The 14596-nt window shown below is 40.7% G+C and overlaps 1 protein-coding gene across 6 annotated transcripts, besides 2 other annotated features; it reads left to right on the top strand.

The window, feature by feature from the left end:
• TSPAN6 (tetraspanin 6) lies at positions 1710-11706 on the top strand. Of its 6 annotated transcripts, XM_011531018.2 has the most exons (9): positions 1710-2021; positions 2607-2623; positions 3068-3256; positions 3562-3636; positions 4785-4883; positions 5275-5409; positions 6246-6329; positions 7948-8055; positions 8828-11706. In XM_011531018.2, the coding sequence occupies exons 3-8, from the start codon at positions 3245-3247 to the stop codon at positions 8014-8016; spliced, it is 474 nt and encodes a 157-aa protein (XP_011529320.1). In that variant the 5' UTR covers positions 1710-2021; positions 2607-2623; positions 3068-3244; the 3' UTR covers positions 8017-8055; positions 8828-11706. The 6 variants fall into 6 exon arrangements, with proteins under 6 accessions (XP_011529320.1, NP_001265670.1, NP_001265672.1 ...); NM_001278741.1 differs by lacking the exon at positions 2607-2623; NM_003270.4 differs by lacking the exon at positions 2607-2623 and having other exon boundaries at positions 2008-2206.
• Positions 1813-2428: an enhancer, noted in NCBI's record as "NANOG-H3K27ac-H3K4me1 hESC enhancer chrX:99891383-99891998 (GRCh37/hg19 assembly coordinates)". NCBI's record gives its function as "activates a minimal SCP1, AML or CMV promoter by ChIP-STARR-seq in naive H9 embryonic stem cells {active_cell/tissue: H9 hESC(naive)}" and the evidence as "EXISTENCE:reporter gene assay evidence [ECO:0000049][PMID:30033119]".
• Positions 2429-3044: an enhancer, noted in NCBI's record as "NANOG-H3K27ac-H3K4me1 hESC enhancer chrX:99890767-99891382 (GRCh37/hg19 assembly coordinates)". NCBI's record gives its function as "activates a minimal SCP1, AML or CMV promoter by ChIP-STARR-seq in naive H9 embryonic stem cells {active_cell/tissue: H9 hESC(naive)}" and the evidence as "EXISTENCE:reporter gene assay evidence [ECO:0000049][PMID:30033119]".

Here is a 14596-nt window from a genome sequence, read left to right as displayed (position 1 = left end):
CCTTAAACGGGATTAGATGCCCCTTTGGTCTGGGTTTGTACCCAAACCCAGGCCTAGGTTTGAACTAAATTGAATTTCTCGGTTTGGTGGCATTGTGGGGGTGGGGAGATGGAAGTGGGTGTAGCAGAGTAGGAGGCAATGGTGCAAGGTGTTGTAGCCATAGGAATATGAATTTCCATGTCAGCATTTGGTTTAATTTGGCACCGAGTGTTATTCAAACAAAGCAGCGTTGTGAGTGGTAGAGGAAGGGAGAGGAGGAAAGTCAACACATTCTTGGAAATAAGATGTGGCTTTTGCTTTGCTATTTTGTTTTTTCTTCAGCTACAGACATATTTCTTTGCTCTTGGGCTCACACTGTAAATCCCTTTCAGTACATATCTAAGTTTCAGAGAAACTTCTCTTTAAGATGACAAGAAGTTATCAAGACTTCCCTTGATCCTTGTTTTTAGTATAAGAACCCTTCAGTTGGGGTCATTTAGCCTAGGGAGAAATCTTTGCATATACTTAGACACCCCCCTCCACCATGTTGAATATTTGGTATTTCCTAACGACTTTACCTCAAAGTGTTTGAAGGTGTATGTAGATGTATCGTTTATCCATTCTCTCCATGTATTTGTGTATTAGGCCTTTCAAATTTTAGTAAAAATTTTAGTATAAAGCCTGGCAATGCAATAATTAATTTTCCAACAGTTGCTGCCTTGCACCTCAGACGTCTGGCAAGATGTTATAGGAACTGGTCCTAGGTCAATATTCGAAGCACAGGGAAGCTCTGTGTGACCAAGTCAATGGAACTTTCCTGTGTTCTGGTCCTGAGGTGTATGTTTAAAGCAACGTTTCAAGCAGAAAAGTTTGAGTATTCATCTCTCCTCCACAAATGCAGGTCTTTTTGCAATGGCAATAGAGTAAATAGCCACTTGTGATATTAAGCTTGTGTCAATGATGAAGGGTTGGATTGCATAGGGAACTGATACAGCCTTCTAACCCCGTTCCTCTAGAGATAACACAAACTCACTTAACACTCAGTCTCTGCCTTCAAAGAGCTGACGCTTTAGTTGAGAAATCAGACCTTAACGCACCTCCTGTGTTGTAACAACATAGACCAATATATTCACAATATATAACATTAGGTTTTAATCTCTCTGTAATCAGCTGGGTTTTGATGGGAAAAACCAGGTGGCTGGAATGTACAGTGCCTTTCTGTTTTAACATTTAAGAGGAGGTCACACTCACCAGGGATTTTTCCATTGCACTCTCTCTTTTTAAAAGTTTACAGCGAATAGCTGAACTTACATTTCACTATTATGTAAAAATACTTTCCCTCAACTTTCCAATTACTTAGGGGATAAAAAAGGAGAGGAATACTGGGGTTTTGCAAAGTCCTGCAGGTAAATTCTAAAGTCATTATTATCTTTAATACCTAGCTTAGAAATTCTTTCAACAAGTGGTGATTATTTTCCTCCATTCACATCTCCCCTTCCTAACCCATAAAACAATGTTCACAAATTGAAAAGCACACAAGTGAGAAAAAAATCAGCCTAATTCCACCAGAGGTAAATTTCACTGTTCCTTTCAGTTTTTGTCTAAGCACACGTGACTGTATGTATTGCTTTGCAATCCGCTTTCTTTTTGCAAATATATTTCTTGTGGGTATTTTCCCATGTATTTTCTTAGGTCGCTTTTAACCTCTTCATTCTTTTCCTTCTCTCTAGGGCACCAGGGGCCAGGGAGGCCCAATCTCAGAGCGCTGCGGGCTCTGCTGGTGATAGAAACAATATGGTGAAGTTATAAGGAGAGGGGAGGGGTGGGGGGCGGGAAAGATTCCTTAGGATAGAAAAAAAACAATGAAGAAAGCTCCACTTGAAGACCTATGAAATTTCCGACACTAGAACCTTTGTATATAGTTTTCGGTAACCTTCGGCAGGGGGCGCTCTGAAATTGTTGCCACTTTCCGGACAGCCTCCCATACTTTACCCTCTACAAAATTGTACAGTGTTTCCGGCCCTTCTCAGTTGTGGACGCTCGTAAGTTTTCGGCAGTTTCCGGGGAGACTCGGGGACTCCGCGTCTCGCTCTCTGTGTTCCAATCGCCCGGTGCGGTGGTGCAGGGTCTCGGGCTAGTCATGGCGTCCCCGTCTCGGAGACTGCAGACTAAACCAGTCATTACTTGTTTCAAGAGCGTTCTGCTAATCTACACTTTTATTTTCTGGGTGAGAGACGAAGGCGCCTGGGGCCGGCAGGGGATCCCGGGCTTTTAGTTGTGGGGGGTGTGACCCTGAGCGGCGGGAGCTCAGGTCGGGAACGGTGTGGGGTTTGGGCGGCCATCGCGCCTGGGACCCCGACGCCGGCGACCAGTGACTGGGCCCCGAACAAAGAGCTCAGGCATCTCGCCGGCGCTGGGGTCGGAGTGCGGGACGAAGGCAGCCGAGAGGCTGAGCTGGGACCCAGACGTACCAGCGTTCGAGTTCGATACGGGAGGCGAGGTGGGGCCTTAAGCCCCCAGAGCACGCAGACGGTGACCCTGGACCTTTGCAAAGGCAAGCAAGGCTTGCCCGGCCCCTTTGAGGGCTCACTTGCATAATAGTGTCTTTCTTTTCACTGCTTCGTAAGAGAGGAGTGTTTCGCAGGTAAGTATGGTATGCCTCCACTCCCGCCAGTCTATCCTTGGGCTTGCTTTTGTGTACCAGTCCTTTGTACCCTGTGCCCATCCCTACCTGGAGAGGACGGGGGAAGTTTCTGGAACTCATAAAATCACGTTTTTTTTTTCCCCTTCAAGGTTTTCTTCCTAAGGTTGGAGTAAGATAGTTAAGGAAGTTTTGATCCCTAGGGCAAATATGCCATGGGCTTGTGTTTACACACAAAAAGATGAATTTTAAGAATTTTGATAAGATACCTGGTCCACAGCCTGCTCTTGTGTGCAGATCCCCCCCTAACCCCTTCTACTCTTCCCCCTTGTCTGCCGTATCCCAGCATATTACACCTATTGTGCCTTAAATACCTCATGCGTTGTGATTTGAAGATGCTGCTGTACACAGTGCGTAACTGTTTGTATTCTCTGAATTCCCACATAGATCACTGGCGTTATCCTTCTTGCAGTTGGCATTTGGGGCAAGGTGAGCCTGGAGAATTACTTTTCTCTTTTAAATGAGAAGGCCACCAATGTCCCCTTCGTGCTCATTGCTACTGGTACCGTCATTATTCTTTTGGGCACCTTTGGTTGTTTTGCTACCTGCCGAGCTTCTGCATGGATGCTAAAACTGGTGAGTCCTTGTTTTCATTAGAATTGATTCTTGGTTTTAGAAAAGTTTTGTATGTTATAGAATTCCTTTGTTGGAACTGGCCATGGCCCTTTACAATTTTTCCTGTTCCTTATGGAAACTTATCAAGTAACAGTTCAGCTGCCAGTTTCCACTTTCAAAATAGACATGTTGTTATTTTCCCTGCCCTTTTCAATGAAAACATGATGAACTAATTGAGAAGACGACCATTATTTTTTCTTTGACTCCCTTTGCAGTTGTGCTATATCTTATTTATGCTGACTTGGACTTTCTTTCTTATCCTGCAGTATGCAATGTTTCTGACTCTCGTTTTTTTGGTCGAACTGGTCGCTGCCATCGTAGGATTTGTTTTCAGACATGAGGTAAGCCTGAATTAGGGAAGCTTAGCATGTTACATTTATCCTCTGAGAGATAAAAATGGATTTATTAAAGTAGAAGAGTCAGACCTCTGTATTTAAACCTGTAGCTGACAATAATGGCCTTCTTGTAAAAATTCTGGTCCACTTCTAATTTAAAAGAAAATTTAGAAAATTGTAAAGACTGATAGTCACCAGAAGAAAATTACTTACTTATATTCCCTGTCGTTTTTCTGTGTATAAATACCTATTAAAACGGAGATAGTACAATTTATAACTTTGCTGATAGGAAAATATTCAAAGCACAAAATTGATAACCTTCTTATGCCTTGCATTTTGAAAAGATTGGATATACTTAATGCAAATCATCAGAAGTTTAATATTGGGCCGGGCGCGTTGGCTCACGCCTGTAATCCCAGCACTTTGGGAGGCCGAGGCAGGTGGATCACGAGGTCAGGGGATCGAGACCACCCTGGCTAACACGGTGAAACTGTCTCTACTAAAAATACAAAAAAAAACAAAAAATTAGCCGGGCGTGGTGGTAGGTGCCTGTAGTCCCAGCTGCTCGGGAGGCTGAGGCAGGAGAATGGCATGAACCCGGGAGATGGAGCTTGCAGTGAGCCGAGATCGCGCCACTGCACTGCAGCCTGGGCAGCAGAGCGAGACTCCATCTCAAAAAAAAAAAGCTTAATACTGAATTAGAAAACAGGTAAACTTGGGGTTGTTCAAATAACATTCGGTGAGTAGCAAAGGCTCATTAATGAGAGTTCTCATAAAGTGGTAGCACAGCCTCCCAAAGTAAGGTTTTGTAGCTTACAAATTCCATAGGCATCGAATTTGAACTCAGTTTAAAGTGGAGAAAAATTAGCAGGGTGCAGAATACAGCAATACTGCATTGCCACTCAGATAAATACATATTCCCACAGCACTTTGAACTTGTAGTGGTTCTCATCATATATTTTAATGTTTTGCTTAGTAGTCCCCTCAGCTAACCTATACCCCTTAGAGGACAGGACTGTACCATGGAAGTTAATTACTATACATGTTGCTGCTGTCAAAGATATGACCATTGGTCAGATTCGAGAACTTATTTGACCTGAAACCAAAAACTTTCTAGAGGATTTTCTTACTGACATTGTGTTTCTTTGCTATAGATTAAGAACAGCTTTAAGAATAATTATGAGAAGGCTTTGAAGCAGTATAACTCTACAGGAGATTATAGAAGCCATGCAGTAGACAAGATCCAAAATACGGTAAGTGGTAACCACCACCTAGAGGGGAACACATTCCCTGTTGCCTCAGAGAAAAGAGCAGAGTCTGGCTACTAGATGTTATCCACCTGTAGGGGAAAGAAGTGTGACGTGTTTCATTTTCCTCACATGTGCACCTGTTCTCTTCCTTCCCCACTTACATCATAGTCCAGGTACAGTTAGTACCAACTATAGCAGGAAAGTAAGGCCAATACAAAACTGTCATGCATGGTGCTAATCAGGGACCCAGTGCTCATCTCTTGAATCAATTGAGGAGAGAGATCATTGAGATTAGTAAATGTTTTGAGCACAAATTGCAATAGAGGATATTAGGTTAAATGTTTGACTACAAAGTTGTAATATAAACTGTAAATGCTTTTGTTGGGTTTTTCAGTTGCATTGTTGTGGTGTCACCGATTATAGAGATTGGACAGATACTAATTATTACTCAGAAAAAGGATTTCCTAAGAGTTGCTGTAAACTTGAAGATTGTACTCCACAGAGAGATGCAGACAAAGTAAACAATGAAGTAAGGTGCCTTTTAAAATTTTCTATTTGGCAATATTTGAAGACTTAACTGAATGCAAAATTGACCCAGTTTTTAATTTTTTTTTTGAGATAGAGTCTTGCTCTGTCGCCCAGGCTGGAGTGCAGTGGCGCGTTCTCGGCTCACTGCAAGCTCCGCCTTCCAGGTTCACGCCATTCTCCTGCCTCAGCCTCTCGAGTAGCTGGAACTACAGGTGCCCACCACCACGCCTGGCTAATTTTTTGTATTTTTTAGTAGAGACGGGGTTTCACTGTGTTAGCCAGGATGGTCTCAATCTCCTGACCTTGTGATCCACCTGACTTGGCCTCCCAAAGTGCTGGGATTACAGGCGTGAGCCACTGCACCTGGCCAGTTTTTAATTTTTAAATATAAGCTGAAATAGATAGGGCGGGTAAGAATTGAGTTCAGACGGCCAGCAAGTAACACTTTTTTGTTTATTTATTATTTAGTATTTTTTTTTAAAGACAGTGTCTCTCTCTGTCACCCAGTCTGAAGTACAGTGTTGTGATCATAGCTCACTGGAGCCTTGAACTCCTGGGTTCAAGTGAAGTAACACTTTTAAATATATAATCCAGAAGGTGGAAATAATTGGGAATAATTATTTGTTCTGTTGAGAACATATGGAAGAGAATAGATTTCAATAAAATGACAATCAAAGGCTATGATACATACATCTTTCTGCAGAGGTATATGATCAAAGTATTTATTACCATAAATATATCTTTCTGCAGAGTTATATGATCGAAGTATTTATTACCATAAAGAAAAGCACAGGCTGCTTGTGCTGTATTTAATCTTTGTTTTTTTCCTCCCATTAGGGTTGTTTTATAAAGGTGATGACCATTATAGAGTCAGAAATGGGAGTCGTTGCAGGAATTTCCTTTGGAGTTGCTTGCTTCCAAGTAAGTTTTTGTAGTTACTTAGGAAATATTTCATCCCTCTTGTAGGTGTAAGCTAGAAGATTTTCACTTTTTTTTTTTTGAGATGGAGTCTTGCTCGGTTGCCAGGCTGGAATGCAGTGGCGTCATCTCAGCTCCCTGCAACCTCCACTTCCTGGGTTCAAGCGATTCTCCCACCTCAGCCTCCTGAGTAGCTAGAATTACAGGTGTGCGCCACCATGCCTGGCTAATTTTTTTGTATTTTTAGTAGAGTTGGGGTTTCACCATGTTGGCCAGGCTGATCTTGAACACCTGACCTCAAGTGATCCGCCCTCCTCGGCCTCCCAAAGTGCTGGGATTACAGGCGTGAGCCACTGCATGCAGCGAGATTTTCACTTTTAAGGCTTATAAGTTTTTGCTTCAGGGGACTGGATAGTGAGGACATTTTTAGGGAAGTCGCATTTTCACAAAACTCTCAGTTACTGGTCACAGTATAAAAATACTTTATTTAGGAGAAATACCTAATGTAGATGATGGGTTGATGGGTGCAGCAAACCACCATGGCACGTGTATACCTATGTAACCTGCACGTTCTGCACATGTATCCCAGAACTTAAAGTATAATTAAAAAAAAGAAGAAAAAAAGTAAGATTTAGAATTAACTTGTAGCAGTGCATATCTTTTGAAAGCAGTTAACTGTGGAAAGACTCAGTGCCCTCTTAGTTATGGCAACTTTCCAGTATCATAGCTCATGAAACAAAACATTAGATAGGAACCTTGGTTCTCTCTGCGGTCAGTCAAGATTCTAAAATGTTATTAGGATCTTTTCTGGGCTGCAACTGCCTGATGAGTTGTATACAAGTTCCAACCTATTAAAATTTAGATGATGCCACCCCCACATTCCTTATGCACCAGTTGTTTGGGGTTGATTCCACGTTGTAGATCAAATTGTGTTTCCCAAGTTGTGTTTCCCACTGTAGCATGAAGTTTGTTTTGTGGCTCTGAACGTTTTTTTTTATATTAAACACTAGAAATAAGACTAATTCAAGTTTCGTCTTAATATATTTTTAAAGTAGTAAGCAAAGCTATATCTAAATCTATGCTAATGCAGTAGCCACTAGCCACCTTTGAATTGTTATAAATTATTAAATAAAATTAAAACCTCAGTTTGCTGGAGATTTGAAATACTTAGTAGCCATGTGGCTGCTGCCTACTATATCGGACAGTACAGGGATTCTAGAACATTTTCATTATTGTAGCATTGCTGTGGATCTTTCCAGGGAAATCTCTGCCCTCGTTGATGGAGATTTCACTTGTTAAGATACTTATTGAAAACCATGTATTTGTTTTTTCTGGGAAATGAGAGTAAGAAAAGTTTCTTCAAAACTCGTGACTGAATTTTCCTTGAGTGAGTTTGCTGGATTTTCCTTTGGTGAGAGTTGTGAAATTCTGGGTCACAGTGGCAATAAAACTTCACTTAGATTCTTTGAATGTGATCTAGATGCTGCAGAGTATTAAACATAACTCTAGAAAAACTCAAGGACGAAAATTATAAGCGAATTACAAGTGAGAGGAGAATATAGTCTGAGGTGTTCAAGTTCTTTTGTGTATGTATTTAATTTTGTTCCTATTTTATTTCTAGCTGATTGGAATCTTTCTCGCCTACTGCCTCTCTCGTGCCATAACAAATAACCAGTATGAGATAGTGTAACCCAATGTATCTGTGGGCCTATTCCTCTCTACCTTTAAGGTGCGTTCATTTTGGTCCTCAGCTCTGTTAGTGTTGATATTTATTCTAGCCTGTGTATGTGATGCATGGACTAAGTTTGCCAAGAACGTCTTGTCTAGTAATATATTTAAATCTAGCTGGTGCTATGTAAACCCTGTGTAGGCAGGTTAGGTCTCTATACACAGGGCATGGTCAGAAAGTAATGACTTAGCTACAGCTTATCTATGCATGCTCTCTACAGTTATGCAACAGAAGACTCCCCGTGTGGGTTTATATATTTACATACACATGTCAGCCTAAAGATCATAAGTGGTCCCTTTTTTAACATGTTTTGGCCTGGAGAGAGGAGAAACAAAGAATCCCAAGAATGACCTTATTCGTGAGGTTCCCTGGCAGGTGCACTCTGCTCCTCACCAATATTGACATTTTCCTTAGTCCTTTTCGTAGTTTTCATTTACCACAATCTTAATCAGTTGTTGAGAGTGTGGCTTTCTTGGTAAAAAGATGTTTTTGGTGGGCTTTTGTTAAAACCGTAAACTCATCTGGTCTAATAAGGAACCAGATTTTGGGAAGACATGTGTTTCAATGGCGTTAGTATTTGACTGGTAAAATACTGTGAGAACTGTTGTTGGCTGAATTGATCCCTAGGGCACACTTTGCATTTTACTTGAGCCACTGACTAGGAACACATAGGAAGGTCTTCATTAGCAGGAATAGATTAGAATGTATGTAAGCAAATACAGATGTTGAAATTTGGGTAACAAGTACATTAACTTTTTTTCTTTAATTTTAGGACATTTAGGGTCCCCCCTGTGAATTAGAAAGTTGCTTGGCTGGAGAACTGACAACACTACTTACTGATAGACCAAAAAACTACACCAGTAGGTTGATTCAATCAAGATGTATGTAGACCTAAAACTACACCAATAGGCTGATTCAATCAAGATCCGTGCTCGCAGTGGGCTGATTCAATCAAGATGTATGTTTGCTATGTTCTAAGTCCACCTTCTATCCCATTCATGTTAGATCGTTGAAACCCTGTATCCCTCTGAAACACTGGAAGAGCTAGTAAATTGTAAATGAAGTAATACTGTGTTCCTCTTGACTGTTATTTTTCTTAGTAGGGGGCCTTTGGAAGGCACTGTGAATTTGCTATTTTGATGTAGTGTTACAAGATGGAAAATTGATTCCTCTGACTTTGCTATTGATGTAGTGTGATAGAAAATTCACCCCTCTGAACTGGCTCCTTCCCAGTCAAGGTTATCTGGTTTGATTGTATAATTTGCACCAAGAAGTTAAAATGTTTTATGACTCTCTGTTCTGCTGACAGGCAGAGAGTCACATTGTGTAATTTAATTTCAGTCAGTCAATAGATGGCATCCCTCATCAGGGTTGCCAGATGGTGATAACAGTGTAAGGCCTTGGGTCTAAGGCATCCACGACTGGAAGGGACTACTGATGTTCTGTGATACATCAGGTTTCAGCACACAACTTACATTTCTTTGCCTCCAAATTGAGGCATTTATTATGATGTTCATACTTTCCCTCTTGTTTGAAAGTTTCTAATTATTAAATGGTGTCGGAATTGTTGTATTTTCCTTAGGAATTCAGTGGAACTTATCTTCATTAAATTTAGCTGGTACCAGGTTGATATGACTTGTCAATATTATGGTCAACTTTAAGTCTTAGTTTTCGTTTGTGCCTTTGATTAATAAGTATAACTCTTATACAATAAATACTGCTTTCCTCTAAAAAGATCGTGTTTAAATTAACTTGTAGAAAATCTGCTGGAATGGTTGTTGTTTTCCACTGAGAAAGCTAAGCCCTACATTTCTATTCAGAGTACTGTTTTTAGATGTGAAATATAAGCCTGCGGCCTTAACTCTGTATTAAAAAAAATGTTTTTGTTTAAAAAAAACTGTTCCCATAGGTGCAGCAAACCACCATGGCACATGTATACCTATGTAACAAACCTGCACATTCTGCACATGTATCCCAGAACTTAATGTAAACAAAAAAATCTTAAAGTGCAAATATTAAAAAAAACTGTTCTCTGTGAAAAAAATTATATTCCATGTTATAAAGTAGCATATGACTAGTGTTCTCCTAGAGATCAGACTTTTTTGATTGTATAGTTTGCATTAAAAAGTTGTACAGGGAGGGATGTAACCTGTATCTTCAGGATAATAGGGAAATTAATAAGGAAAATAATAATTACTAAAATTTGAGTTGAAGTCAGGGAATTATTTCTTTGGTTTTGAGTCTCTTTATACATCCATTAGTAGAACCTGTCTAGTCTGATTGCCACAGTCCTTGAATTGATGGTAAGGGGGAGTCAGTTACAGTTAGAAAAAAACCTGGGCAAAAACTACTAGTTAAATGATCATGAATTTTGAGTATGTGTTTTAAAATGCTTGGAGTTATTGCAGAAAAATGATATTCTCCATTAGAACATTTGATGTGTGACTTTTGACATAGGATAAGGTGATAAGAAAATTAAGTTGAAAAATAGTGACTCAAGTACAGCAAATCAGATTTTTGGCTACTGAGATTAAAGAAGCAAATATTTAAAGGATTATCAGCAATTTTCAAATACATATTTTTCACTGCAGTGGTTTTGAAGAATGTTTTAAGGTTATATTTAGAGTTTTTAAAAAAGTTTTCCCTCAGCCAGCCATGGTGGCTCACATCTGTAATCCCAGCACTTTGAGAGGCTGAGGCGGGCGGATCACCTGAGGTCAGGAGTTCTAGACCAGCCTGGCCAACATGGTAAAACACCGTCTCTAATAAAAATGCAAAAATTAGCTGGGTGTGGTGGCAAGCACCTGTAATCCCAGCTACTTGGGAGACTGAGGCAGGAGAATCACTTGAATCCAGGAGTCAGAGGTTGCAGTGAGCCGAGATCACACCACTGCACTCCAGCCTGGGCGATAAGAGTGAACCTGCATCTCAGAAAAAAAAAAAAAGTTTTCCCTCATTATTAAAAAGGAAAAATTATAGAAAATTAAAATATAGAATGTAGAAAGAGGAAAAACACCACACATCACTCGTCAGGTGGATTGGTTTGTTTATTTTTAAGATGGGTTTATTTTGGATAGCCAGTTAGAAAACGCCCTTATAGCTGATGTGTGCTTGTGCATACTGAATTGTATACTTAATTCTGAAAGTAATGAGGAAACATTTCACCTAATGATAACTGGTACAAAGGAAAGTTCACGTGTCTTTAATAGTTTGCTAATTAGACTAGCTGGTTAGAAAGAGGGATCACTAGATTGGAGAGAGAGATCCAGTTTCCACTGGAGGCAGTAGGTCTGCTCATTTCCATGGTGACAATCCTAATGGCAGAGGGAGTGAGTTTCCCTTAGTGGCACAGGCTGGGGGTTTTGAGCTTTTAAGTTTTGTTTTATAGAAATCTGGAGAATTTTACATTTTACTTCACTATATATCTATGTTTAAAATAATTCATTTTTGATGTCCCAAAATTGATGTGGGTTGCCTTATTTCCAGGCACCAGGTTGCTCACTGCAAGGTGACATTTTGAGAAGCAGAAATCTCTAGGTATATCTTAAGTGTGAAAAGCTTGTTAGATTTCCATGGCCTATTCCAGGTGGGTTGTTGGGTTTATGTTGTAAGCATCAAACTTTTGTGGAAATAAATACCTAATACAAGGTATAAATACCATTTCTGGTTTTCCTCAGAGCTCACAAAAGAATCTTTGAGACTTGATGTTTTCAACCTCCTGTCAGAATCCAAGTTGGTGATGCACCCAAACAAACCTGTTAAAATATGAGACACAGAGCCGGGCGCGGTGGCTCACACCTGTAATCCCAGCACTTTGGGAGGCTGAGGCAGGTGGATCACGAGGTCAGGAGATCGAGACCATCCTGGCTAATACGGTGAAACCCCGTCTCTACTAAAAATACAAAAAAATTAGCCAGGTATGGTGGCGGGCGCCTGTAGTCCCAGCTACTCAGGAGGCTGAGGCAGGAGAATGGCGTGAACCCGGGAGGCGGAGTTTGCAGTGAGCCGAGATCGCGCCACTGCACTCCCGCCTGGGTGACAGAGCAAGACTCCGTCTCAAAAAAATAAAATAAAATAAAATAAAAAAGAGACACAAAGCAATATATGCATTTTCTCATGAAACAGTAAACTTTGGTTCCTTTGGACTATTCTGTGAGGGTTTTTGTTTGTGTTTGCAGGGAAAAAAATTAACCTAAGATATTAATGCCATTTCTACTTTTCCTCACAGCATATATAAGATAATTTGAGATTTGATTTTTTTTTAAGTTTGCTACTTTTCTAGGTTGAAACTTTGTGATGCGGCAAACCAAACCTTACTAATTTAAAAAGGAAAACAAAAGGCTAATGTGTCAGAAATGAATATATAAACTGAAACAGCTATAGGGAAATAAGACTTTCATTTTTAAGTCATCGCTTTAAAACTTCACCCGGATTGCTTGTGAGAGAGAAGCCATTATGATTTAATTATGGTTTTTCTATTAGGTACCCTGACCCCATGGAGCTTAGTAGCATCAGGCACTTGTAAGAACACAGTAAATGCTAATGGAATAAATGAATGAATGAGTGAGTCTAATTATAATGGTCCTTTAATGTTCTGTGTGAAATAAGATGATCTCAACATCTCATTCTATGTAAGCCACCATTTATATAATAGAAACCACCTGCCCAGTCAGAAACCACTTAACCTCGGAAACCACAGCTAACTTCCTCCTGGTCAAATCGCTTTTTGCTGCTTCTCTTTCTTGAAGTCTTTGTTGCATTTGGTACCACTAAAAATATTTTTCTTTTTTTGTTTTGACTGTGTAACATCCTGATTTTCTTCCCTTTTACTGCTCTTTCTAGTTTACTTTGTTGTTTGAATTTCCTCCTCCTTTTCAAGTGTGGCTGACCCCAAGGGCTTGTATTTGGTTTTTTGCTCTTAGATTATGCCGACCTTACCTTGAGGAATTAAAGTACATGATCATCAGGCCTAACCTTTTATTCTTGGGACATGCACTTTAGTTGTGTGTTGGTCATAGCAGCTTGCTTATATTCCTACCCCTCTCCAATACCTAAAAGTTTAGTAGCATTCTGAACACTTAAAAATTTTTAAATATTCCTCCTATAACATCTAGCAAATGGAAGAGTAAGTACTTATTTGACATTGACCTACCTGGCTCTTTAATCAGGGATGACATGGCTTATGGAAACTGGGGAAAATGGGTCAGCTGTTCTAACCACAAGCATTTATCAAGTGCACATCAGTTCTTTGGGATTGTCATGCTTCATCTGATGGTGTTCTCATTACCATATCCTCAAAATTTTCATTAAAAAAAATGAAGTGGTGAGTTGGTAAGGCTCTTGTTTCTTCCAGCCAGTTTCTCACCACTTTTTTTCTGGGAAAACACAAACCTATTAGCAATGTCCACAAAGCAAATCAAACTGACGTGGCACTTGCCTGGATATAGACAATTCACCAATGGCTATATACAGCATATATAGCAGGGTAGACAATTACTCAGAATCATAACTAGAAAGGTAAAGTAGCTACATTATGTACACAGGGCAACCTAGGGTACAGCGTAAGAGATTCTGGACACATTTTCCTGTCCAGAAAGGCCATGTACTTCCTCAGCAGGAAAGTGGCAGATAAGGGCAGGTGCGGTGGCTCACGCCTGTAATCCCAGCACTTTGAGAGGCCAAGGCAGGCAGATCATCTGAGGTCGGGAGTTCGAGAGTAGCCTGACCAACATGGAGAAACCCCGTCTCTACTAAAAATACAAAATAAGCGGAGCGTGGTGGTGCGTGCCTGTAATCCCAGCTACTTGGGAGGCTGAGGCAGGAGAATTGCTTGAACCCGGGAGTCAGAGGTTGTGGTGAGCCGAGATCACGCCATTGCACCTCTAGGCTGGGCAACAAGAGCAAAACACCGTCTGAAAAAAAAAAAGTGGCATATAAGAGAAGATAGGCCATTTGAAAAGACTATTTCCCCCCTTCAGTTTCTTTTTTTTTCTTTGTGTGTGTGTGTGTGTGTGTGTGCGCGCATGTGTGTGTGACAGAGTCTCTCTCTGTCGCCCAGGCTGGAGTGCAGTAGTGCGATGTTGGCTCACTGCAACCTCCGCCTCCCGGGTTCAAGCAATTCTGCCTGCCTCAGCCTCCTGAGTAGCTGGGATTACAGGCGCATGCCACCACGCCCAGCTAATTTATTGTATTTTTAGTAGCGACGGGGGTTTCACCATGTTGGTCAGGCTGGTCTCTTACTCCTGACCACCTCAGCCTCCCAAAGTGCTGGGATTACAGGTGTGAACCACTGCGCCCGACCTGTCCAAATATCTTTTAATCAGTCCTTATTGAATATGAAATCTTCAAAGAGAAAACCTTCATGAAATAATATCCTATTCTCAGGAACGCTTTTACACTGTTGGTGGGACTGTAAACTAGTTCAACCATTGTGGAAGACAGTATGGCGATTCCTCAAGGATCTAGAACTGGAAATACCGTTTGACCCAGCCATCCCATTACTGGGTGTATACCCAAAGGATTATAAATCATGCTGCTATAA

The sequence above is a fragment of the Homo sapiens genome, chromosome X (genome assembly GCF_000001405.40).
Source record: "Homo sapiens chromosome X, GRCh38.p14 Primary Assembly".
NCBI classification, from domain to species: Eukaryota; Metazoa; Chordata; class Mammalia; order Primates; family Hominidae; genus Homo; species Homo sapiens.
The sequence above is the reverse complement of the archived record's forward strand: the minus strand, read 5'-3'. Positions and strand labels throughout refer to the sequence as shown.

What these genes read in the sequence shown, in the direction of transcription:
- TSPAN6 (NM_003270.4), top strand. Translation starts at nt 2,120, where the DNA reads ATGGCGTCCCCGTCTCGGAGACTGCAGACTAAACCAGTCATTACTTGT. An exon ending in GATTTGTTTTCAGACATGAG is followed by an intron (nt 3,637 to 4,784) that starts GTAAGCCTGAAT and finishes TCTTTGCTATAG; the next exon opens with ATTAAGAACAGCTTTAAGAA. An exon ending in CAGACAAAGTAAACAATGAA is followed by an intron (nt 5,410 to 6,245) that starts GTAAGGTGCCTT and finishes TCCTCCCATTAG; the next exon opens with GGTTGTTTTATAAAGGTGAT.